Source organism: Homo sapiens, chromosome 17, assembly GCF_000001405.40.
Source record: "Homo sapiens chromosome 17, GRCh38.p14 Primary Assembly".
Classification (NCBI taxonomy): domain Eukaryota; kingdom Metazoa; phylum Chordata; class Mammalia; order Primates; family Hominidae; genus Homo; species Homo sapiens.
In genome coordinates, this window is record NC_000017.11 from 51,654,697 (window position 1) to 51,681,696 (window position 27,000).

Genomic DNA, 27,000 nt, shown 5'->3' on the forward strand with positions numbered 1-27,000 from the left:
CAGGCGCATGTCACCACGCCAGGCTAATTTTTTGTATTTTTAGTAGAGACGGGGTTTCACCATGTTACCCAGGATGGTCTCCATCTCCTGACCTCGTGATCCACCCGCCTTGGCCTCCCAAAGTGCTGGGATTACAGGTGTGAGCCACTGCGCCCGGCCAGAAGCATAATTTTTTAACAAATTAAAATATAGAAGTAAAAAACGTGATGCCCCCCCCACCACCTCTTTCTAATTCTAGTCCATGCTATACATACAACTATTAACAGTTTAGTGTACATCCTTGTGGTTACTTGTTTTGTGCTTATAAGTCACACAAACACACATAGCGTATAAAAAATAATAAATTCCCTAGTCCACAGTAACTGTTAAAAAAACAGAAAGGGATGATTAATAATTATGATTCTGAACTTGATTTTTTAAAATTTAAAAGTAGTTTGTAGCTATCTTTCTAAGCCAATGCATATAGATCTCCCCAAGTCTTCCAAATAACTATAGAATTCTCAGTTGCACAAACACCCATAACATATTTAACCATCTTCTCGCTGGCTTTCGTGTTGTTTCCATTTTTTTGTCTCTTATAAACAATGTCACAGCAAGCACATCATATATCTTTCTGTAATGGTGTTAGCATTTTCCACAGGCTGATTTGAGAATCCAATAAGATAGTGCATGTAGAAGTGATTTGTGACTCTGAAAGTGTAAGAGAGTACTCATTATTGCCAATATCTTGAATTGCATTAAAAAAGGTGAAGTTTTAGAAGTTGAGAAATGTGATGATCAAAAAAGATGCTTTTCCTTGAACTTTGAGAAAAAGAAACCATATCTAACCCAGTGGTTTGCTACCTTCACTGTGCATCCAGATCACCTGGGTGCTTTTAAAGCCCACCTGTGCCTGTCTATGCCTTCTCACATTCTGATTTAATTGATTTGGGATGATACTTGTATTCATCAAAAGCTTACCAGCTAGAGGGAAGTTGGACTTCAGAACAAGTGGAACATAATCAATGAACATTAATATCCCATCAATGCCTAGTCAGATGGACAGTACCTTGAATCTGAGAATATCCTGAGCCTCCTGAGGTGTAGAGGAACTTCTCATGAAGAGAGCACATGTTACTGCTGCTCTTGAAATATCCTATTTGCTTATTGCTTTTTCACCTATGAGTTTTGCCAGTGGAGATGGATGACTCTATAGTAGCTACTCTGCCATCAGAAAGGCAACCGCAGGCCAGGCGTTGCTCTGCCTCCGCAGGACTTTTAATCCCCCCTCCCTTGTACCCCCACACAACCAGGACTTTCTGCAGGTGGAGAAATGTTGCCAGGTGGTGGAAGAACCAGGGACTGGGGGGTTCTCACACACTCAGCACACCTCCCTTCCAGTGCTGAGTAAGCTTCTAATGAGAACAAAACACACCCTGCCATCTGCTAACTTCTTCCCACTGATACAGGTGACCAACAAAACTGCCAGGGGATGTGCCAGTGCTTCCAGACATGCCTTGAAGTTAAAGCATGTTCTGAACAGAGGAGGGACATGAAAGGCAATCCAGTGGAGTGATCCTTCTGTCCAGCTTGCAAGGCAGAAAAAGGCAGGAAGAAGTCTCCTGGGCCATGGGCTGCCTCTCAGGGTGGGGTTCTTTTGGGAGCCAGGAACTGTAAGAAAGGAGCTGGCAAGTACAGGGCTGAGGCTGTGCTTTAAGCTTGAGTTAACACATTTAAAACTTTGATCTGAAGTCATGCCTCCTCTCTGTTCCAAGGTGAGTTGGCTAGGATTCTGATATCAGGAGCTTTGGTTTCTATTAGTAGTTGTTGATGGACTGTCTATTGTGTTAGGTTGAACCACATGAAATTGATCTTTTGCTTTACAAAACTGGTGAATTTATAGTTAATACATTCTAGAAATAAAGCTATTTTGAATATGAGTTTTGAGCATTTTCTTTCTGACCCCCAGTCAGATGTTAATAAGATGACAGTGTGCGCTCTAGGGATCAGCAGCAGCCACAGCATCTAGGAGCTTGTTAGAAATGCAGAATCGGGAGCCCCATCCCAGGTCTCCTGAATCAAGATCTGCATTTTCTCAAATTCCTAGTGATTTGGATGCACGCTAAAGTTTCAGAAGTGCTGCTATAGCAGATACTGTTGGCTGGTGAGCAGAGTCCTGTTTTGTCTGGCTGTTTACCCCTTCTCCACTTCAATTTGGGTGGGTTAAGGAGCACATGCATCACCTATGTTGGAAAACAGGCTGAGTCCAGATCATAGGACCCCTGGAATGTCAGCAATAGAAAGGCTTTGAGCAGGGGAATGAGATAATCAGCATGGACTGTAAGAGGGTAGATTGGAGCCAGGAGAAAATAGAGGTGGAGGTTGGGGGGTATTTAATTTCAGATGATGGTTATTAAGGCAGAGATGTGCTCTATAGGCCTTTGCAGTTTACAGAATGTGTATGTTTGTGTGCTGAAGAGGCACCAGGAGATTTCCCCAGGCAACAGAACATCTAGGAGCAACAGAAGAGCACAGGAGACAGCTTGACAGTCACCAGGCTTTTTGTTCTCAGCTGTAAGAACACAGTTTGGGCATCAAAGATAACCTGGGACCTGTATCAGTTCATGCATGAACAGCAGGTCTTAACCATGAAAAAGTGCTGCTTCCTTTCTACTGCCTTCCAGGTCTTTGTTGGTGGTGATCACAGTTCCTGCAGCTGTTGCCTTTGCTCTTCCCTAGCCAGGCACAATAATGCTAACCCAATACCCACTAACCACTCACAATATGCATGGGTCCAGGTGGGTCTGGAGAAAAGCAGGGTTCACTGCTTCTCCTACCATGACTTTGGGCTTGGGGAGCAGCAATGTGCAAACCACATCCTGCTAGGGACAGAGTATCAGATTGGCAGATGGGTTCTGAAAGTGATGCCTGTGGATGGATTTCTTTTTGCCATGTATAGGTAACACTTTTAAATCTCAACCATATAAAGTCTGAATTTTGAATAATTTAGATGGGCCCTAAGCTATACCTTAACTGAGCCCCAACTTTAAGGCTTATGCAGAGTAATCACAGTGTCTGATGTGAAACAGATGATCAATAAGTGATTGTTCAACTGTCTGAGCAAGTGCATGATTTGACTAAGACTGCAGGGACAATGAGAGCAAACTCTTCGGGGGCTAATGATGACATGCTAATTAAACACCAAGTTCAAGTTCAAGAATTTAAGCTATTCATTAAAGAGATGCCTTGAGGGCTTCTGCTAGTTTAGTTGGCATTACCATGTGAAAGGGTTAAACCTGGATTCCTGGAAATTATTTAATAATCTTGATTTTTTAAATTAGTTTTAGGCGAGTATCCTCCTAGAGAAGCTTCCTGGAAATGCAAGACTGAGAAATGGCAGGCAGTCTTCCAGGGAGAATACTACCAGTCTTGTCATGATGCTCCCACATGGCTGGTGCCATGATGCAGTGCATTCTCTATATCTAAGAAGTCCTCCATGATCTGATGTGACTTGACTTCTCATTTCAGAAAGGCCACCTCACCTCAATCCTTTACATGGGCCTGGAATTCATTTGTTCAAAAAATCTTTGAGGGCCAACTATGTGCTGAGGTCAATTGGAATAAGACTGAGAAGGTCTTTGTCCTCCTAGAGATAGTTTCAGATGGTGGCAAAGATAGCTTTGAAGGAAACAAAACAAGATTTTGACTTACTTACAGATTGAAAGGTAGTAGTGGAAAGAATGGGGGCGAGGATGCAGAAGTGGGGGCAACATTCTGTAGTATGGTTGGTGAAAAGTCTTTGGGTAGGCTAACATTTGAGCTGAATCCTGATGACCAGGAGCCAGGTATGGGAAGATCAGAGGGAAGCATATCACTTGTAGAGAACACGGCCAATGCAAAGAGCCTGAGATAGGGACAAGCGGCTAGGAATGGCTGGGAAAGGATGAAGGTGGCTCAAGATGGGACCAGTTCATGCAAGGCTTTGTAGACCATGGTGAGGAGCTTTGATTTTATTCCAAACACAATAGGAAGTCACAGGTGTTAAATAAGAAACCAATTGATCTGATGTGCATTTTTGAAAGATCTCTCTGGTGTGGAGGAGGGCAAAGTGGGGACTGAGGAAGCCTTGCCTACCCTTCTTTACCTCATAGTTCAGCTGGGATTGTGCCCAATTCCTGCGACTATTTGAGTTCACATTCAAGCACATGCTATTTTGCAACTATTCTCTTTGTGTCTTACCTTCTCCAGGACACCTTCCATGAAACACTGTCTCTGAACACCAAGTGCAGCTCCCTTCTGCTCTCATGATGCTCTCACCCAGGAGGCAAATTTGTGATGGTTAATTTTATATGGCAACTTGACTGGGCAAAGGGATGCCCAGACAGCAGGAAAAACATTATTTCTGGGTGTGCCTGTGAGGGTGCTTCTAGAAGATATTAGCATTTGAATCAGTAGGCTGAGTAAAGAAGATCTGGCCTTATCAGCGAGGGTGGGCAACATCCAATCTATTGCAGGTATGAATAGAATAAAAAGGTGGAGGATTCTCTCTTCCTTCAGCTGGGGCATCCCTCTTTCTTTGCCCCTGGACATCAGAGCTCCTGGTTCTTGGGCCTTCAGATTTTAGACTCTGGGACTTACACTAGCGACCACCTCTCTCCCTGTGGTTTGGGATTGGGGATTACACCATCAGCACCTCCTGGTTCTCCAGCTTGCAGACTGCACATTGTGGGACTTCTTGGCTTCCATAATTGTGAGCCAATTCCCACAATAAATCTCCTCTTATATATCTATGTATATAGCCTACTGATTCTGTTTGTCTGGAGAACCCTGACTAATCAAAATTCAAAATACTTTGCAACCAAAATGGGATGGGTACCGGGTGATCAGAACAGATGTAAACCATAGACGCCCAGTACAGTCACATGAGTGCTGAATATCATTGTTAAAGTTAGTCATCATCACCACTTTGGATGATCATTACCAACATTTGTCGAACACCTCTTTGTGTGAGAGACGATGCCAGCAGAAACAACTCATTTAATTCTTGAAAACTTCTATGAGTTAGTGCCATTATTTCCATTTGAGTCATGGGGACACCAAGCCTCTGAGAGATAGTGGCAGAGGTGGGATTGTGCCCAGTTCCTGTGACTATTTGAGTTCATACTCAAGCACATGCTATTTTGAAACTATTCTCTTTGAGTCTGTGTCTACTTTTGGGTAAACATCTCAAGGGCATGGATATCCATCATCACATCCCTGGTGATGGGATTTGGCTCAGAGGAGATGTTGGCAAGCATTTGCTGAATGAATACCAATTCTGCATCTCATAGAATCTTAGAAGGGGTCTTAGAGAAAATCAAGGTCTTAGTTCTCAGCCCATGACTTTTAAAAATGAAGAAAATGAGGATCAAAGAGGAGCTATGTCTTGCCCATGATTATACAGTCATTCATAGATCCAATCATTCAACATGTGTTTATTGAACAACTCCTAAGTAAGGGAGGGTGATATGAGGAGAAATTGTATTGGAAGGCAGGAGAAGACCATGGAGAGCTTGGCAGGCCAAGGTAGGGGGTCTTGATTCCATCCTAAGGGTAACGAAGAATTTCACTTATGTCCTAGAATTTTCTTAGGACCAGAGGCAAAGTTTCTCCTATGCACTTAATTGAAGTGGAAGCCTGAAAACCATTGGCCTTTGGTGACCGGTAACTCAGCTTTCAAGCTAACAGACAAGTACTCCTCTGTGTTAAATAAGCAGACCTGCTGCAAGCAGGCTTCCAAGTTGACACAAGCCACACTTGTCATAGGTTAAGCTGGGAGCAGCTTCAGTTGCACAGGTCTCAGAGTTTTCATTTTGTGGTAGCAAGGTGATGCACTAGTGCATGCCGGGGGCTGCTCACTCACCCCTCATGCCTCAGGAGGGCAACAGGCTGTGTTCTCAGACCTTAGATCACCTTTCTCAGCGTGATGCTCCATTAGCAGAAGCCCTTTTGTGAGCGCAAAAGAGCAGCCTTGGAACAGAAGACCACACGTGGCGTTCACAGTGACAATGCTATCACCTTACCCCTGCTTAAACACCTCAGTGGCTTCCCCTTGCCTGTAACATAAAGATGCACATCTGGGGCCCCTGGCTTTTCTAACCATGTGTCCTTGTTTTCTGTGCTCTGCTCAGTGTCTTTCTTTCAGCCTCCCTTATATACTGGGCTTCCTCCTTTCCTAGAACACATGCTTATTCTGTTTCTTATGCTTCCCTTCCCTTAAACAGAGAAGGGAGGGAATAAACTTCCCTCCCTTCACTGTTTGACTCCTACTTATGAACTCCTTTGTATCTCAGCTCAAGGGTCACCTGTTGAGGGAGATCCCCATGATCCACTGTCATGGCACTCTGTACTTTTCAAAATACATATCACAGTTTTAGCTTGACATTCGTTGTGTGACTGATGAATGCTCACCTCTTTCCCTAGACTGACTTTAGGCTTCATCCAGGCATGGGCTCTATCTTATTGGCCCCTGTGACATCTCCTATACCTGGTACATATTAACTGTATCAAGGCAGAAATAAATAATTGTTAATGAATGAAGCAATGCAGGCTGTCTATTGTACAATGAAGTGTGATGTCCCAAGGGACAGAGAGAACAAGGCGCTTGGCTGAACTGGTTAAAGAACAGTCTGGAATTCCAAAGGTTATCTCTAATGGGAACCAAGACACTGAGTATCACATTGGGCTGCGTGGGTTGCAAAGCCTGGTTTCACCCTTGGGTCCCCTTACATGAGCAAGTCTCTCATCTATAAGAGGGATAGTAATAATTCATAACTAATACTCATAGCACTGTGTGATGATTCTATAAAACCGAATATAAAAAAGCACTTAGCCCAAGGCCTGGCATGCAGTAACCATTCCATAGTAAGCTACTATTGTTGTTGTTATGCAATATTTATTATGCAAGCAATAGATAATACAGCCTTCAGCTTCTGCAGAAATAGGGGTTAGGTATGTGCAGGTCTCCTTTGTGGATCCGACATTGAGTCTGTTCTCCCAAGGAAACTTGAGGAAGGTGTCACCTATTGGGGAGCACCCACTGTGTTCCAGACACTGAATGAGGCGAGAACTTTTAAAGAGAAATGCATTCCGAATGGCTCATACTGTAATTCAGGGGTCAGCAGACTTTTTCCTGTAAAGATTCAGATAGTAAATATATTTTTCTATGCCAACTGTATAGTACCTGTCACAACTACTCAATTCTGCTTTTATAATATGAAAGCAGTCATGGACAAAATATAAAAGAATGGGCGTGGCTGGGTTCCAGTAAAGCTACAGAAACACAGCGTAGGCTAGATTTGGTCTGTGACTGTAGTTTTCTGACCGCTGCTAGTTTAAATTTGGGAGATGAATAAAGAACTTCCAGTCATATATTTTCCAGTAAGTGTTCTATACAGATAGGAAAATACATGTTGAGAGAACCTAAGCATTAAGCTCTCCCTTTCCTTTAAATGATGATGATTACTATTGTTACCTTTATATAGTCCTTTAAACTTTTCAAGGCATATTCAACTCAAATGAGCTGAATTCTAGTCAACGTATAGGTCCCAAATGCCCACCCTATGCCAGATCCCAGAAGTCCAGAGATGAATGCTGTATATTCCATAGCCTAAAACAGCTCACCCATATTACCACATTTGTTCCTAAAATAAATAGGTGAAGTGAAGACATTAAGGCACAGAGAGGTTAAGCACCTCTTCTGAGGTCACACAGACAAAAAGTGACAGTGACTATTCATTTCACATTAGCATATGCAAATAGTTTCTTTCTACAGGAAAGTAAAGAGAAAAGGAAAGGTGTTCTGTATTTGAGGGGAGATCACATTTCAGCAGCTTTTGCTGGAACAACTATAAGCTAGAACTTATTTATAGAAAGTCATTAACAAGTTTGTCTTCATGCATAAGAGCACACACAGTCTGCAGAGAAGAACACAGTTTGATGTTTACCAGCCACCACATTCTCACCCTAAGGTTTGGTAACTATCATGGGTCTGTCCGGTGATGAGATTTTCTGCATTGTAGGCTATGGAATGCAATTATGGCTAAAAATAAAAATAATTTTCCATAGTTTCATTGACAGAAGATCCCCAAATGTGGTCTGGCTATCATACCAACCTAGAAAACCAGCATGGAATGTAATTATTTTCCCCCAAAAGATAACACAACTTGGATTTTAAAGCATGTTTTTCATCAAGTTGTATGGGAGTTTGCACAAATGTAGAGTGATATATTTGGGTGCAGGATCATGCTGGAAAATGCAAGACCTTGAGCCTAGTCAGATACCTCTTCTGTCCAAGTAATGTGGGGCTACTTATCCCCTCTGATTATTTCTTTATGCATAATATAGGGATGCATCTATCTAAGAATTGTCATGAGAGTGAAACAAGATAATGACACAGTCTTTCAGGAACTTGGCAGGGTATAAGTAAACAAGATAAACAGATGAGATAAAACACATAAAGAATCAGGGAAGTTCCGTGATGCTTTTTTTTTTTCCCGGAACTTGGAATGCGTTTCGAGACCACTTTTTCTCGATTCCTTCCCCAGGCCTTCGCATCCTTCAACTTCTTATAAAGGAGCTGCTGAAAGCCAGAGTGGGATGAGCCTCCTGCACGACGTCTAGATCCTCCCAGAAGTGACTTGTAGGCAGTGGCTGCCACCATCCAAGAATGAGAGATGAGGTCTGCAGGTCCTTTTGAAACTTCTGCTGATTTTAGTTAAGCCTATTTCTTCCCCATGCTCCTGCAACCTCAAACTCATCCCAACACAGGGCATGGATGAGGAGAGTTAGGCTCTGGCTCCAAGTCCTGGGTCTTCTGGTCTTCTTTGAACTTCAATTTCTTCACAGGCAAAACTGTGATGACAACATAACCACTCAAATAATCGTGCTGATTAAATGAACCAAAACATGTAAATGAGCTCAGGTGTACATGGGATAAAGGAGGCTTCAAATGCAGTGCCTGGCACAAAGTAAGCCCTCATTAAATGGGAGTTGCAGTGATTATTATTAGAAATGTCTGGCTGCTGGGGCTCTGATAAAGGGAGAGGCCCTAGAATGATGAAGTGACGTGTTAAGTTCCATAGATAACAACAAAGTCAGGCCATTCACACTTTGGGACTGTATTTCTTGACAGTCCATATATCATTCACATTTGCATCTTACTTTATCTTATTGTCAGATGACTACCAAGAAGATTTTGCCAGTCTTTTCTTTCTGTAGCTCGTATTCTTGTATTATGAAAATAGATATACTGAACATGTCTCATACCAAATACCTTTTCTCTTTTAGGATTGTTGCTATTTCTGTGGAAGAGTTTGTCCCATGAGAACCACTGTACTGGTATGTGTAGGGCATTTTTGTTAAATATTAAGTCATTCCAGAGCCCACATAAATAGTATTAATAAAGGCTCGCTTTGTTTTAATTATTGTAGAGATTTAATGTTATGTAGTTCATTTGAGTTAAGGCAAGAATTATTTTTGGTCATCTCCTACGCAAAAAAAAGCGTTGGTCTAGATGGGTTTATAAGTATATTCCAGCAGATATTTGAGGGGAAAATAGGCCAATATCTTTTACGATCATATATGCAAAAAGCCAAAATTAATACTAGCTAGTGGAAAACAGCATTAAAAATAATTTATTACAATCAAGTAGGGCTCATATCAGGAGTTAAGGGTAAATCAATGCTGGAGAAATCTTCCAATGTGATCTAGCACATCAATTGAATGAAGCAGAAAAAAAGGGACATGAACATCTCAATATGGAGTACCTGTATTTAGATAGAGCTAACCAAATTAACATCCATTTTAGTGGAATTACTTCTCACTTAAATGGATGAAGTATACAAAAAAAAAAAAAAAATAGAATCTAATGCTTCAACCTGATGCCTGGGATGTCTTTTGCCTGAGGTCTGAGCTCTGGAGTGAACAAGGAAGACAGCTTCTAGATGATCATGAGACAATTCAGGCCAAAGCATGTCTCTGTGATGCTGAGAAAGGCTCTGAAAGCTTCAGCAATGTGGTGTCCAGAGGGCAATGTGATTGAATGATATTTCGGGAGACCACAATGCGAAGTTTTATCCTCTTATAGTTATTCATAAAAGTTTATAGCTTCACTGGTATAGATATAACTAAATTGGAGAGGAATGTGATTTTTCAAATATCCAGGGGCAATGACTCTCAGTACCTGCAGTAGATGCACACCAAGGGGTTGACGGAGAAGACTTTTCTAGCTCACTTCACAGTTAGTCCCCATCCTGGAGGAAGGAAAGACTGAATCCTCACACACTGCTTGCCAAAGCCATCTTATTCACTCAGGGTTAATTCAGAAGAGTCACTTTAGGTGGCTACTGTCCTAACTGATATATTCATGGAAAATTAGACACATAACATCTATTAGATAACAGAGGAGGGTTTTCTCTCCTCTCATAAATGAAGCTGCGCAGCGATTTGGATAAACTGTTCACAAAACTAGGCTTGGTTTTGTACACATTAATTGCATAAAGTATGATACTTAATAAGCAGAAACACACACTGGTTTATTTCAAAGCCATTAAACCCGCAGTGGATTGACTGTAGGGGATGAATATTAGAAAGAGCACAGGGCTGGGAGTCAAAGGGGCTGAGTTTGAATGACAGCTCTGTCATTCAGTAGGTAGGTGTGCTCGGTGAGTCACTGCTCCCTTTTAGACCTCAGGGTCTTTATCTGGAAAACATGGAGATTTTAAGGACAGGGTTTTGTCATTCTTCTAAAACACTGATGGGAAATATAGGATGTTGCCTCTTGAGTTTCCATCAAAGTCAATTAAGTTATAGTCACATGTTGCTTAAAAACCAGGATGCATTCTGAGAAATGTGTTATTAGGTGATTTTGTCATTGTGTGAACATCATAGAGTGTACTTATATAAACCCAGATGGTATATGGTATAGCCTATTGCTCCTAGGCTACAAATCTGCACAGCATGTTACCGTACTGAATACCATAGGCAATTGTATTGCACACAGTGGTAAGTATTTGTGTATCTAAACGTAGAAAAGGCTCAATCAAAATACGATATTGTAGTCTTAGGGGACCACTGTCACATAGGCAGCCTGTCATTGAAGGAAATCTTGTTAGGTGGTATGTGACTGTATGTAGAATTGAAACCAAATATTTAAACCAAAGTTTCAGTAGGCAGCATGTTTATGCCTGGGGTTGCAAATGGATGACTATGGGACCAGGCTGCTTGTCTCAACAGAGGAGAAGGCTAGGCAAAGGCCATGGCCAAAAAATATGAATGTGCAGCTTAGTCCCAGGGTCTCCTGGCAGCCACTTTGTGACTCCTGGTTTCTTCATTTGATCGTGCTTAGGTCAAATCAAACCAAATCCAAACAAAACAAAATATCTCAAACCTTCACTCATTGATTCTTCCAACAAACCCGTATGTGTTTCCCATGTGCCAGGCACTGTGCTGGGCATGAGGAGATGAAAAGAGGGAAGACCTTAGAGGCAGTAGGAGGCACATATGCAAGTGTCCTGTAGCATCATGGAAGACCATGTGTAAGAGGAAGAGGCTGGAGCCCAGAAGGGAAGGGGAATGAGGTAGGCTGACCCAGGAGAAAAAGGTAAGGACAGACCACATTCATGCTTGGAGACCCTGGTAAGAATATTGTCTATCCTCAGAACAGTGGAAAGTCATCCAAAGTTTGAAGATGGAGAAGGGGGTTGTACGTGCAGGGGTAGGGAATGTTGATGACAGCAGGTTTGTTTCTGACACTCGATTGAAAACTCTAGAGGGAAGTGACCCTTTACTGTAGCGCCTTTTCTCAATGTGGTGTCTGATTCTTCCAGAAATCACATTACCAACTGCCTGCCAACTTTCCCCTATTCCTGCCCTTCCAGAGCCTGCCCAGGTTCTTGGTGAGCCAGGTATTCCTAATCCTGGAATCATATCACTCAAATTTAATAACCTCTCTCATGTGCCAGTACTTGACAAGTTAAAAGTAATTTGAATATCTGAGTATTAATATTTTAACTATACAAGGCACCACAAATTATTTAGTGATTTTTTAAAATAAAAAAGCAAATAAGAAAATGATGTATCAATTCAGATTGCAGGGAATAGGAGATCCCAACACAGGCTTCTGAAAAATTGGGAAAAGCACCCAAGAAGATTATAAAAGATGACTAATGAGCACAAAACAACTTTTGGCAAGCACAGGAAAGTATTAGCTTATTCCAAGAAACAAGACACATTTCATCCAATTATTGGAAAATAAATGGCAAGAAAAACCAAATACCAAGAAAGTACCCACATTTATGTGGAAAAGTATAAAAGCAATGATTCAGGAACTAATTTGAACAATCCAGGGATAGTCATATTGATTCCAGCCCATTGCTGCAATTTGAAATGAAGCCAAATGCCAGAGGACAATGAGATCTGTTTTATGGGCTCTTACATGCCACATAGGAGGGAGGGAGCCACAGGAATGCACCACATTGAAAAAGGAATTGTGACTTCTGATGGGAGGGCTTTTGGGCCAAGTTAAATCTCAGAATCCAGCTCTCCCCCTGCTCCCCAGACAGTGTTGCTAGAGGTCAATGGACAGTGGGGTCTGAGCAAGTCTTCATTGTGTGTGATTGCCCCTTGCTTGCAGGGCCTTTAGAACCTTTGCACCACTCCCACTAACTGCTTGCAGTACTTCCATCATGATGTCAATCCCAAATACCTCCTACCCAGTTTAAAACAGCCCTTGTGGTATATATGTGTGTGTACTGCCCAGATGGAGGGCTGTGGCTAGGAAAGTCAGTTTCCCTATCCGTAAATTGGAAGAATGATTGATAGCTCCTTGTGCTACATATTTCTGCTGAGCAAGCAAAAAAAAAAAAAATGACCTTGGGTTAGAACATCCTTCCTGCTGCACTCTGTGTGGTCATTGAATGTCACTTCTGTGCAGGATGCAGCTGATTCTTTTCTCTCCTAGTGGATTTTGTTTTACAGAGGGATCTTTGGTCCTGTGACTGAAAGGTGAGTTGGGGGTGACAGTGGGGAAAGGAGACAGAAGGAGGGAGAGCCAAATTACTCTCACTGTACTGCAGGGAAGTCCAGATGGTGCCCTTGTCCTAAGCTTCCAAAATATGCTCTGGGAGGGAAACAGAGACAGCATTTTGCTGACAGCACTTGGGAACAGGCGTGTGGGCACTCTATATTAAGACTTCAATATCCATTCCAAGTGTATCTGTGTGTATGTGAGAGCACTGTGGCTTTACTTGGAAACCACCGGTCCCAATCTCTCTGGGGCAGATTCCATTTTTCATTCTTTCCTCCCTATCCTTGTAACCCAGGCCCAACCATTCAGCAAAGGGTCTACCCCCAAATACCATGGCTCCCTCTGGGGCCTCTGTCTTTTGCCAGGGCAAAGGTTGTTTCCAGTAGAACTGGGTCAGCTAGAGGGAAAGGTCTTTATCCCTTGGGTAGCCGGAGTCTGAGGCATTCCCAAGGGCGAGTGGGTACAGTGTGGTTCCCATCCACAGAGTGGTGGCATGCATGCCATGCCAGCTACTGTACCAGGGAGGGGCGATTTCAAGAAGAGACTCAGTCTTGGCCTCAAGCATTTCTCAGTCCAGAGAGAGAGAGAGAAACCCAGCTCTTGCAGGCAGAGCTTTATAAATTACAATGCATCTTCCTGCCCACTTCCTTTCTGAACCCAAACAATAGCCCTTCTGTGAATTAGGCCAGGATGCTTTGAAACTGTCTTTCAGACAGGAGGAGCTGAGGACCCAAAGTCACTCGGTTGTTTATCAACAGATCTAGACTTAAATTCAGGTCTCTGATTCTCAAACACAGTCTAATTTCGATCTGTAGACTTGGTCAAGCTGCTGTTTTGTCCGGTGTACTGTCCTGATATTGAGAGGTGACAATGTGCTAGCAACCCTTGCTCGCTCTCGGGACCTCCTCGGCCTCTGCATCCACTCTGGCCACACTTGAGGAGCCCTTCAGCCCGCTGCTGCACTGTGGGAGCCCCTCTCTGGGCTGGCTGAGGCCAGAGCCAGCTCCCTCTGCTTGTGGGGAGGGGTGGAGAGAGAGGCGCAGGTGTGAACCAGGGCTGTGCCTGCACTCGTGGGCCAGCGCGAGTTCTGGGTGGGCGTGGGCTCAGCGCGCCCACACTTGGAGCGGCCGGCCGGCATCACAGGCCCTGGGCAGTGAGGGGCTTAGCACCTGGGCCAGCAGCTGTGGAGGGGGCGCCAGGTCCCCCAGCACTGCTGGCCTGCCTGCACCAAGCTCGAATTCTCGCTGGGCCTCAGCCACTTCCCTGTGGGGCAGGGCTGGGGACCTGCAGCTTGCCATGCCCAAGACCCTGCAACCTCATCCCCGCCGTGGGCTCCCGCATGGCCTTGTGGTGCCCGGTCCCATCAACTGCCCAAGGGCTGAGGAGTGCAGGCGCGGGACCAGATGGCAGCTCTGCCGGGCGGCCCAGTGTGGGATCCACTAGGCAAAGCCAGCTGGGCTCCTGAGTCGGGTGGGGACTTGGAGAACTTTTATGTCTAGCTGGAGGATTGTATATGTACCAATCAGCACTCTGTGTCTAGCTTGGGGTTTGTGGATGCACCAATCAGTGCTCAGTGTCTAGCTAATCTAGTGGGGACTTGGAGAACTTTTGTGTCCAGCTAAAGGATTGTAAATGCACCAATCAGCACTCTGTCAAAACGGACCAATCAGCAGGATGTGGGTGGGGTCAGATAAGGGAATAGAAGCAGGCCGCCCCAGCCAGCAGTGGCAACCCTCTCGGGTCCCCTTCCACACTGTGGAAGCTTTGTTCTTTCGCTCTTCGTACTAAATCTTGCTGCTGCTCACTCTTTGGGTCCATGCCACTTTTATGAGCTGTAACACTCACCGCGAAGGTCTGCAGCTTCACTCCTGAAGCCAGCGAGACCATGAACCCACCAGGAGGGATGAACAACTCCAGATGCACCACCTTTAAGAACTGTAACACTCACTGCAAAGGCCTGCAGCTTCACTCCTGAAGCCAGTAAGACCACGAACCCACCAGAAGGAAGAAACTCTGGACACCCCATCTTTGAAAACTGTAACACTCACCGTGAGGGTCTGTGGCTTCATTCTTGAAGTCAGCAAGACCAAGAACCCGCCAATTTTGGACACAATATGGTTTGGCTGTGTCCCCACCCAAATCTTATCTTGAATTTTAGCTCCCATAATTCCCACATGTGGGAGGAACCTGGTGGGAGATAATTGAATCACAGGGTGGTTTCCCCCATACTGTTCTCATGGTAGTGAATAAGTCTCATGAGTTCTGATGGTTTTATCAGGGGAAACCCCTTTCACTTGGTTCTCATGCCAGCTGCCATGTAAGATGTTCCCTTTGCTCTTCTTTCATCTTCCACCATGATTGTGAGGCTCCCCTAGCCACGTGGAACTGCGAGTCAATTAAACCTCTTTTCTTTATAAATTACCCAGTCTCAGCAGCATGAAAATGGACCCTTGCCTGACCTTCAATTTAAAAGAATTATAGTAGCTACCATTTAAGGAGAGTTTCCCATGTGCCAGCAGGGTCCTCAATGCCCTACAGAGGTCATCTCATTCAGTTCTTACAACAGGTGTACAGGCAGGGATTACTGTCCCCATTTACCAGATGGGGAAACTGAAGTGGGGGAGGTGAAATAACTTGCTTGAATTCACTCAGTCAGTAAAAGGCAGAGCCACATGTTAGACCTGGTTTGTGGGCTTTCTCACCAAGGATTGTGGGGAGCTTCCCTGATTGATTGGGTCCGCATTCCTTTTTTTTTTTTCCCCCTGGAATCTCTGGGACACCAACTCATGCGTGAATCTGGGGAATTAATCTTCTCTTGTTGGGCCCTGGCTGAGGGGTTCAGTGATCCCTGAGCTCCATTCCAGCTCTTTCTCTGGATTTATCTGTAGCATCCATACTTCCCCAAGTTTCCAGGTGCTTGTCTCTTATATCCACAATGAGTAACACCACCACTAGTGAATTCTAGTGAACATTATTGGGCTATAATGTGAGCCAGGGCTGTGTTAGCCTGTTCTGATGCATTATCTCATTTGATCCTTGCAAAAATCGACGTATGAGAACCTTATCACCTCCAATTTAGAGTTAAGGAAACTGAGCCTTAGAGATGCTAAGTAATGTATCCAGGTCACACAGTTTTTAATAGAACAAGAGCTTGTGTCTGATGCCAAAAACAAAATGTTAAGCACTAAGTTATCTGGCCTCTAATAGACGGAAGTGCTCTGGGACTTGGGATTGTCAATCAGACTTAGGGGGTGGCTAAATAAATGAACCCCTGTGGAATGAAGTCCCCTTGCACTCCTATAGTTAGTGTTTTACTTCATGTCAGCTGTGGAGAAATAGGCACAGCTGGCTTGGTGTATCTGTCAGCTGTTAAGTCTCAGGTTCTGTCTTCTAGGTAGGAGCTACCCCAGGCACAGCACTAACCCTTTCCTGCAGGTTCTGATTGGGGGCCGGCCTTTGGCTCTTCCCGGCTGCTAATGCTATCTCCTTCCCACCTTCAAGGCTCCCTGCCCTGAGCTGTCCCTCAGGGTTCTCCATAGTCCAATCCTGACTTTTCCAGCCTTCTCTCACCTCCTCCTTTACAACATACACCTACTGCTGAAGGGGCTTTTTGATGCCCCCTGAACATGACTCACAGTTTCACACATTTGGGTCATTTTTTTTGTTTTTGTTTTTGTTTTTGAGATGGAATCTCGCTCTGTTGCCCAGGCTGGAGTGCAGTGGTGCGATCTTGGCTCACTGCAAGCTCCACCTCCCGGGTTCACGCCGTTCTCCTGCCTCAGCCTCCTGAGTAGCTGGGACTATAGGTGCCCGCCACCACGCCTGGCTAATTTTTTGTATTTTTAGTAAAGACGTGATTTCACCGTGTTAGCCAGGATGGTGTCGATCTCCTGACTTCATGATCCGCCTGCCTCGGCCTCCAAAAGTGCTGGGATTACAGGCATGAGCCACCACGCCCGGCCACATTTGGGTCTTTATCCATGCGGTTTGTCTCTACCAGGAATGGCCATTGTTTTGGCTGTAATTTCTGTTAGTGGAACGCCCCTCCTAAATTGCTATCTCCTCCATGCTGGCCTTCTGGATTTTCCTGTATGAATTTGCTGTCTTCCTCCTTTTGAAATCTTGTAACATTAAAGTAACATTAAAATATGGGCTTGACTGTGCTTTCAATGATAGCTTCTCTGCTTGTAGCAGTTCCTCCATAGCCTGTAAGTAGTAAGAAGAGTTACAAATCTAACCCTAGCCTTGCCACTTCATAACTGTGACTTAGGGCATTGAGTTAACCTGTCTGAACTTCATCTTTAGGGTAGAGATAATACTGTTTATTTCCCCAGTTGTTGTAAGAATTACATAAGTTAGTGCATGTAAAACACCTAGTATCCACCAGACATGCAATAGGCACTCAAGAATCTTAAGTTACCCATATTCCCACATTTCTTATTACCTCTTCCCCCAAATACACACAGATCGTCACACACAAACAATACTACTGCTGCTACCACCACCACGATGATGGCTCAATGCCCAGTGTGTACAGGATCACAGCATGCTAGCGCTATAAAGTTCCCTAGCAGCCCATGGTTTTAGTCACTGTTTTGCAAACGAGTAACTAGCACCTGGGTTGGGATCAGCTGCCCTAAGTGAGTACAGTATTGCAGCTAACATTTACTGGGTACAACACCAAGGCATTGTACTTGGTGTTTTATAAGCATTATCTTATTTGAGCCTCCCAATGAATCCCCTGTGGGGTTAGGTAATAACATTTTCATCACCCCTATTTTGCAGAGTGGTGGGGGGCCGGGGGACCAAAACTTAGAGGTTAAGTAGTTTACCCAATATCTCACTTTTCTAATAAGTTGAAGAGCTAGAATTTGGACCCCAGGAGCCCAATATCAGATCCTGGCTCTTAACCAGAAGCCAGAATGAAAGTGAACTCCAGATAGCCTGCATTATTTTAAGAGTCCTCTCCAGTGTCTCAGAAAGGGCTTCAGAAATTCAGAAAAAGCTCATTTCTTGATTCCCATGCCAGGGCTATCTGCCCAGGGGAGCTGAATTGAACATAAATGAATTCTACCAGCCCAGATCCCTCACCCTGCCAGTCTCAGTCTTCTCCCGGAAAAGTTAAAATGAGTTCCCTGAGCTCTGGCTGCTTTCTAGTGGGGAGGGAGTTCCAGTGGCTTTGCAGGAGGGGAGACTTGGAAGAACTCCACCAACTTAGTTTATTCCAAGGCATGCCCAAGAAATGGATTTTCTTGACTCTGTCTTGGCTGAGACAAAACACACACCTCTCTTGTTGGTCTTTCTGAGTTGAACAGTCTTGTGGCCTTAATGCCTATCACATTGGATGGTTTCAGGAAAGGGCCATTCTTTGCTTTCTTGGTCCATGAATTCAGAGCTGGGTTGAGCAGTGATGAGAAAATGAACCCCCTAGCCCCAGCCAGCCCTGGATCCTCTCTTGAGTTCATTCTCCTTTGGCATTTGGTAAGCAGGAACCTTGATGTCCCAGATGGTAGAGCCAAGGGATGGCCCCAGGCAATTCATGCAGATACCTCAGCTGGTTGTAGTGAATCATTGTGTCTATGCAAGAAGGACTTATGAGCACTCAGTGGGAATTCTGTACTTCAAATAGCCTATTCCAAGTCAAGCTCATTATCCTGCCACCCTGAACTCTACTCCAAATCTCCTCCTCTTCCTTCATCCCCTCTAACATGGCCATCATCCTCCCAGTGCTATATTTATAGACTTGGGCGCCTACTGAGACTCTTTTGTCTTCCTTATTCATGAGAGCTCATTAGTCATGAAGTTCTGTGAATTTTTGTAATACACTTCATGGTTCTTGCAACTATTGCTGTCCTCTTTATACCCAGTGCTACTGCTTCAGATCAGGGCCTCAAGTACTCTCACCTTATTATTGCATCACTTCCTAACTGGTCTTGCTGCTTCCAACCTTATGTCTCTCGAAGCCAGTCTCTCCATAGCCATTGTGATGGCTCTAGGTCTAAACATTTCACTTCCCTGCAAACGAAATCCTTCAGTGGCACCTTAGTTCCCTATGGGAAATGTCCAGGCTCTTTTATCCGGCCTGAAAGGCCCACCATGACCTCCAGCTTCACCATTCACCTCCCTGCCCAGCCCACATAAGCCGGCCATGCCAAGCCACTGCATGGACCTGACTGTTTGCACATCTGTATCTGTAAACACACCTTCCCCTCCTCCTAGAATGTCCTTCCCCCCCAGGTTCATCTGGAAAACTCTTACTCATCCTTCAAAACCCTGCTCAGGCTTCACCCTCCAGGTAGAGATGCTCATGCATGCCTCTCTGCTACCATCATGCCCACAACATACCTCTATTAAGGCCTCTACTGCTTCATATTGCAATGATTTGTGTACAGCGCATCTCCCAGGTAAAATGAGAGCTGCTTGAGGGCCAGACAGTGGTTTATAGAAATTATTTCCCCAGGACCTAGCACAGCTTCTGACACACCATAAGCACTAAATATACTTTGTTGATATAGATGATTTTTCTGAATTGATCCAACTGATTCCTTTCACAAGCACAACCACTGCAGGGAAGAAAAATAGTCTTCTTACTTAGGAAAAAAATTACTTGACATGTCTTAACTGTAAAACCCTTGAACAAGCACTTTATCCTTCTTCTGTGGTTACTTTTTCTTTTTTATTGTGTCGCTGTGGTCTGGATAAAGTTGTCTGAGTTTTATTCATTTCTTAACTCTGATTGCTATCTTGCAAGGGGGATGGGATGAAATAGCAAACAATATATTCTAGCTTTTTTCTTTCCCAGAGGCATATATAGAACAGCCTCTGAAGAAGTATTAATATTGGAAAAGATGCTATTATCTGCATTATACTAATTAATCCATACATCTACCTGTCATTCTTTCTTTTCTATGGCTTTTCTCACCGCAGTGGTGTGCTCTTCCGCTGCTGGTAAATTGGCACAATAAATCTGGGGGGACCACCTCTATTTCCAGCAGTTCACTTAACATTTTATCACGTGGCCGTGGACTCAGGATTGAAGTCAGTTAAAAAGATTAATACCATTTAATACCACCCAGAAGGAAGATGCCAGAAGTCTGTTTAAGGTCCTGTTATTCATGTCTTCATTTCCTTTGTGCGTGTATTGTGATAAGCATAGCCATCCTTTTTAGGCTGCTGCTAATAACTACTTAAAATGATTAAGGTAACTAGTTATTTCCTGTAAGAAAATTGCGCTGCTGTCATTAACACGAAATTAACATGGCTCCCATTTCATCTTCAGCACACAGCCTGTTGCCCCCCGTTGCCTTAAACAAACAGAACTGTCTCCAGAAGGCTGTGCGCTCCTTTGTAAGAGGCAAGGAGGTAAGAAAGCGTAGTTTTGCAGAGGATGCTGCCCATGGAGGCAGCCGGAGGAGGGAAAAGCATAGTCCCCCAAACTGCCATGAGGTTTGGAGGAGTAATTAGCATAATTGTCATTATTCTGTATGGCCTGAGCAATGTGAATGGGATCCGTGCCCTTTAAAATTCCCAGTTCTCAGTCGGGCATGGTGGCTCATGCCTATAATCCTAGCACTTTGGGAGGCCAAGGCGGGTGGATCACCTGAGGTCAGGAGTTTGAGACCAGCCTGGCCAATATGGCAAAACCCCATCTCTACTAAAAATACAAAAATTAGCTGGGCATGGTGCTGGGTGCCTGTAGTCCCAGCTACTCAGGGGAGAATGGCTTGAACCCAGGAGGCAGAGGTTGCAGTGAGCTGAGATTGCGCCACCGCACTCCAGCCTGGGTGACAGAGTAAGACTCCATCTCAAAAAAAAAAAAAAAAAATTAGCCAGGTGTGGTGGCAGGCACCTGTAATCCCAGCTACTCAGGAGACTGAGGCAGGAGAATTGCTTGAACCCTGGGGGCGGAGGTTGCAGTGAGCCTAGATTGCGCCACTGTACTCCAGCCTGGGCGAAAGAGCAAGGCTGCGTCTCAAAAAAAAAAACAAAAACAAAAAACACACAACAACTCCCAATTCTCTCAATCAGTAGTTCTCTTAGGTTGGTGCAAAAGTACTTGTGGTTTTTGCCATTAGTTTTAAGTTTTAAGAACAAGGACCGCAATTACTTTTGTACCCAACGAATAAGATTTTCTCTTACTTGACACATGCAAGACATTTGCATGTGAGAGACACTCCCATCGGAACACTCTGCTTTTGAGAAGGATCTACACATATCTTGTAGGGACATGAAGCACCGTGATGCTTGTAAGGTCCTAAGTATTAATGGTAAGTCAGCAATGGCTGCTTATTGGGAGTCTTGGCACAAATAAGATTGGCTAGTGCTACTTAAGTGGAGTCTGTGAACATGTGTGTACAAGTTTTAGTTTGAGTACGTGTTTTCAGTTATTTTGGGTATATACCTATGACCGGCATTGCTGGACTCTGTACTTTTATGTTCAACTTTTTGAGGAACCACCAAACTGTTTTCCTATATTTTAAAGTTGAGCACTTATGTGTGCCAGGCCCCGAGTTGAAGAGTTCACGAGATAGTGTACTTGGAGGGTGAACATCTAGAGCCAGGAGGAGACCAGAGGGCCAAAGTAGTTCAAGTCATCTTTGGGAATCTGTCACAGTTGTCCCTCTTGCTCACTTGCTCTTACTCCTCTACCCCACTCTGATTGTCTGCTGTGAGTGGCACCATCAGCACAGCCATCACCTGAGAGCATATTAGACATGCAGAATCTGGGGCCCCACCCAGACCTACTGCACCAGCATTTCTGGGGGTGAGGCCCAGGAATCTGTTTTTAAGAAGCCCTCTAGGTGTTTCTGATGATTACTCAAGACTGAGAAGCTCCGAGATAGATGTAGGTGCAGTGTTACCCTTGTTGCTCTTACATCAGAAACCCTATTGGCTGCAAAGTGAGCGTCAGATACTGCTTTTAGAGATAGCTTTTAGTCTTCTCTAACTTAAATACAGTGAATCATATGCAACACTCCCCACTTTTAGCAGGTTATGTGCACCCACTTCACTTACAACTGCAAAACCCTACCATTCCAGGCAGAGTCACCTCGGTTCCATATCATGTCAGGGGCTCTTAACTTGTCACAGTAGAAATAACCCAGGGTTATCTTAGTAATCCTGAGACTGTGCTCTTCTTTACCACCCAGGCCAGCCTGCAAATGTGATGATGGGTCTACCACAGAGTCCATGGCCACAGAGTAGCCCTCTGTGGCTTCCTGACAGCCAAGAGCAGCCTCGATTTGATATCTGGTGTTTGTTTTAAGCCTTTCCTTTTTCTGCTGTCAGGAAGTGGTAATGTAGTAGTGTGTTGAAAGAGCATACATTTTGTTGTCAAACAGACCAGGGTTTGAATTCTGATTCTGCTACTTGAGCCTGCAAAATGGGTTAATAATATCTACTATGTGGAATAATATTTGTTCAATAAATGGTGGTGATATGGTTTGGGTCTGTGTCCCCACCCAAATCTCATGTTCAATTGTAATACTCAGCGTTGGAGGTGAGGCCTGGTGGGAGGTTACTGGATCATGTGGGCGGAGTTCTCATGAATGGTTTAGCACCATCCACTGTGGGCCGTTCTTGTGATAGTGAGTGAGTTATCATGAGATGTGGTTGTTTAAAAGTGTGTAGTACCTCCTCCCTTGTGCTCTTCCTCCTGCTCCAGCCATATGAAGAGGCACCTGCTCCTGCCATCATTGTAAGTTTCCTGAGGCCCCCCCAGAAGCAGATGCTGCCATGCTTCCTGTACAGCCTGCAGAACCATGAACCAATGAAACCTCTTTTCTTATAATGTACCCAGTCTCAGGCATTTCTTTATAGCAATGCGAGAATGAACTAATAGAAGTGGTTACTGCTGTTATTAATCATTGCTGATAATTAAAAAAAACCAAATATGTACATAAAAAGAGGGAGACAGGGTGGAGTAGAGAGAGAGAGAGAACTGTCATAAATTCCTAAAGACTTTTTGAACTACTGTGGCCCTCTGTCTCCTCTTGGCTCTAGATGTTTGTCATCCAAGTGAACTATTTTGTGAACTCTTCAACTCAGTGCTTGGTACGGGGTAAGCACTCAAAACAATTTGGTACCTCAAAAAGTTAAACATACAATTACCATATAACCCAACAATGCCACTCCTAGGTATACACCCCCCCCCCCACCGGCTGCCAATTGAAAATAGGTACCCAAACTGAAAACTGTACACCCATGTTCACAGCAGCACTATTCACAATACCAAAAGGTAGAAACAACCCAAATGTCCATCAATGAATGAATGGGCAATTTGTGGTATACCCACAAAATGGAATATTATCCTGCCATGAAAAGGAAGAAATGACAATACATGCTACAATGTGGATGAACCTTGGAAACATGCTATGTGAAAGAAAGCAGACCAAAAACTCACATATTGTATAATAATATGTAAAATCTAGAACAGGTAAATCCATAGAGACAGGTTGCCAGAAGCTGGGGAAGGGAGAAATGGGAGTGACTTTAATAGATAATGGGGTTTCCTTTTGGAATGGTGAAAGTGTTTTGGAACTAGATAAATGTGGTTGCATAACATTTTGACTGTGCTAAGTGCCATTAAATTGTTCACTTTAAAATGGTTACTTTTATACTGTTAAAATTAATTAAAAATATATATGTATATATGTTTATAGAACAATAAAGGATGAAAGGCTGAGCCTGAATAACTGATTTACTTATTCGGAAAAGCAAAGCCGTTTAAAAAATATTTTACTTCTGTTGCTTCTGGCTATAACTGAAAATCCCTCAGTCCATGTGGGGAACACAGATGACGAATACGCAGCCCTCCAGCATGTGTATGTGGTCATTAACTTGGCCTTGCTGGTCCAGGGATTTCAGGTAAAAATCAGGAACTATGAAAGTTATTAATAACTCAGTTGCTTCTAAGACAGGTGAACATCTAAGACAGGGCCATAGGAATGGTGTAATGCAGTCAAGAGAAAAATGTGAAGGAGAAGGATGCAGGCAAGTTCTCCTGAGAGACAGATCCAGGAGCATAAAATTGGCATTTTTTCTCCATTAAACAATTTGGGATGATCTGAAGTCTCCTCCAAGTTTCTGTCTCTCTCTTTATCTTAATTAGCAAAGAAAGTCTTAGGTACAGTAAGCCCTCTCCTTCCCTAATGGATTAGCCAGCAAATAGGAAACTAAGCTTTGGGAGAGACTAATAATAGAATGAAGGGAAAGAAGGACAAGGATTGACTGTAGACTTAAGCTTTCTCCGTTCATTCATTCCTTCATGTTCCAAAGCAATTGCATTTCTTATTTGTATGCTACAGTCATTCTCCACCCTCAAAGAGTTTACCATTTATTGGTGGGGGTGGGGGACATGGACACAAACAAGTATACAGTAAACCACAGCATCATATGTCAGACTGTACTGTGCATATGAATCCTTTGGCAATCTTGTTAAAATGCAGATTCTGATTCATTATGTCTGGGGCAGATTCTGATTCATTATGTCTGGGGCAGGGTCTGAGACTGTTTTTCTTTCTCTTTTTTTTTTTTTGGGATGGAGTCTCGCTCTGTCACCCAGGCTGGAGTGCAGTGGCGTGATCTCTGCTCACTGCAAGCTCCGCCTCCCGGGTTCACACCATTCTCCTGCCTCAGCCTCCCTAGTAGCTGGGACTACAAGTGCCCACCACCACGCCCAGCTAATTCCTTTTTTATTTTTAGTAGAGATGGGGTTTCACCGTGTTAGCCAGGATGGTCTTGATCTCCTGACCTCGTGATCTGCCCGCCTTGGCCTCCCAAAGTGCTGGGATTACAGGCATGAGCCACCGTGCCTGGCCTATTTTTTTTTTTTTTTTAAGACAGAGTCTTGCTTTGTCACCAGGCTGGAGTGCAGTGGCGCAATCTCAGCTCACTGCAACCTCCAACCCCTGGGTTGAAGCGATTCTCCTGCCTCAGCCTCCCAAATGGAGACTCCGTATTTCTAAGAGCACAGAGGTGAAGCCTGTGTTCCTGGTCTGAGGGGCTAGAGTGTGATAACCACAATAAAAAGGAGATGCCGTACAGCAGATTCAGCAAACAGCCTGCAGGCCATATCCTATTTTTGTATGGCCCATGAACTAAGGATGGTTATACATTTTTAAATGGTTGGGAAAAAACTCAAACCAAAACAATTGAAGAAGGCTGTTTCACGACAACTGAAAATTATATAAAATTCAACTTTCAGCATCTGTAAACAATGTTTCATTGGAACAGTCACCCCTATTTGTTTGCATATTGTCTGTGACTGCTTTCCCACTACAAAGGCAGAGTTGAGTAGTTGCAACTGAGACCATATGGCCCACGAAGCCTAACATGTTTACTATCTGGCCCTTCACTGGAAAAAAAAATTGTCTATCCCTGGTATAAAGTAATATGGGATTTCAAGAGAGAGGGAAAGATCATTTCCAGTTGTATTCATCAGGGAAGACTTCATGGAGGAAGAGTATATGAGTAGCTTGACCAGTGAGTAGGATCTGAGTGGCAGCCGTTGGGGAGGAAGGAAATCTAGTAAATGCATAGGCTTGGAAATAAGGAAAGCAGGTGGCATGACTACAGATCTCAGTGTCGAAAGCCTTAAGCCAGGTTGCTGTCCAGACTGCCAGCTTCCTTCTGAATGGGAAAGAGAAATGCTCTGACACAAAGAAACTCTGGTTCCCAGCTCTGGAAGATTAAACCAATTGGGCAAGTGTATGGTGGACTACATGTGTATCCGTGAGCAATAATGAAGGCCAGGTATAACAGTGGATTTCTGGGTGAGCATTTGGAAGCCAGTGGTTCTCAAAGTTGGGGAGTGACACTCCCGCACCCTGTTCCCCAGGGAGTGTTTGGAAACATCTCTTTTGGGTTGTCATACTAATTAGGGGACATCTCCTGATACTTACTCCCCAGGAGTCAAGAATGCTAAAGGATTTACAGTGGGATGCAGAAGACTATAGTTCTGGGCAAGGTCACATGTCCTCCCCTGAATGTCAACAGCACCCTCAATAACATGCTCAGTCTGAGGACTCTTCTGTGGTGTAGAATGACCATAGGTTGAGAAATTAAAAGACTTGGATGAAGGGAATGGAACCCACTTGGATAGTGATGAATGGAGACCAAGCAAGAGGGCAGATTGATGCTATTGCTTGGCAGTGAGACCAAAAGACTTCCATTTCCCCCCCAACATTCCCAGAGAGCCAGAATGCCAGGGTAGAGTACAAATCCAAAGAGAATCTATATTGTAGGGAATATTTATGGTGCCTATGAAAGATAAGATTTGCATGATGGGTGAAGGTCAATGACAATTATTTATTCACAACCAGTCTTCCAGCCTTAATCTGCACAGTGGTTAGGTGGCTAGCTTTGCAATCAGAAAGAGCTGGGTATGATTTCAGCTTTGTCTCTTCCTAGCTGGGAAACCTGGATAAGTTATTTTAAATTTTCTTGTTTTCTGATCTGCAAAATGGGTATGGTAATAGATTGTTTTAAGTATTGATTGAGATAATCCGTGGGGCAGGCTTAGCACAATATTGGGGCCCTCAGGGGTGCCCTGTAAATGAGTTTCCATCTCTCTTTGCTTCAATGAACACGAACTGATTTTCTGATGCCATCAGTGCTGCTGTTGGCATCAGAATAGCAGGTGGGAAAATTAGAGGGGAACCAATTTTAGCCATGCATAGCATTGGTTGATATAAGGGATGGCTTCTCAATCTTGGCACTGTTCATATATTGGGCTGGATAGTTCTTTGTTGTGGGGGCTACCTTGTACATTGTAGGATGTCTAGTAGTATCCCTGGCCTCTACCCACTAGAGACGCCAGTAGCACCCCCAGTCATGACAACCCTAACTGTCTCTAGACATTGCCAAATGTCCCCTGAAAGGCAATATGGTCCTCGATCGAGACCACTGGTTTAAGGTAAGAGAAAAATAAGTCGTGGCTGTTTATCTTTTTATAC

The 27,000-nt window shown here is 44.0% G+C and overlaps 1 protein-coding gene across 3 annotated transcripts in view; it reads right to left on the minus strand.

Moving 5' to 3' along the window:
- CA10 (carbonic anhydrase 10) overlaps positions 1-27,000 on the minus strand; it is a 529,711-nt gene that overhangs the window by 24,384 nt on the left and 478,327 nt on the right. The window lies entirely within an intron of this gene.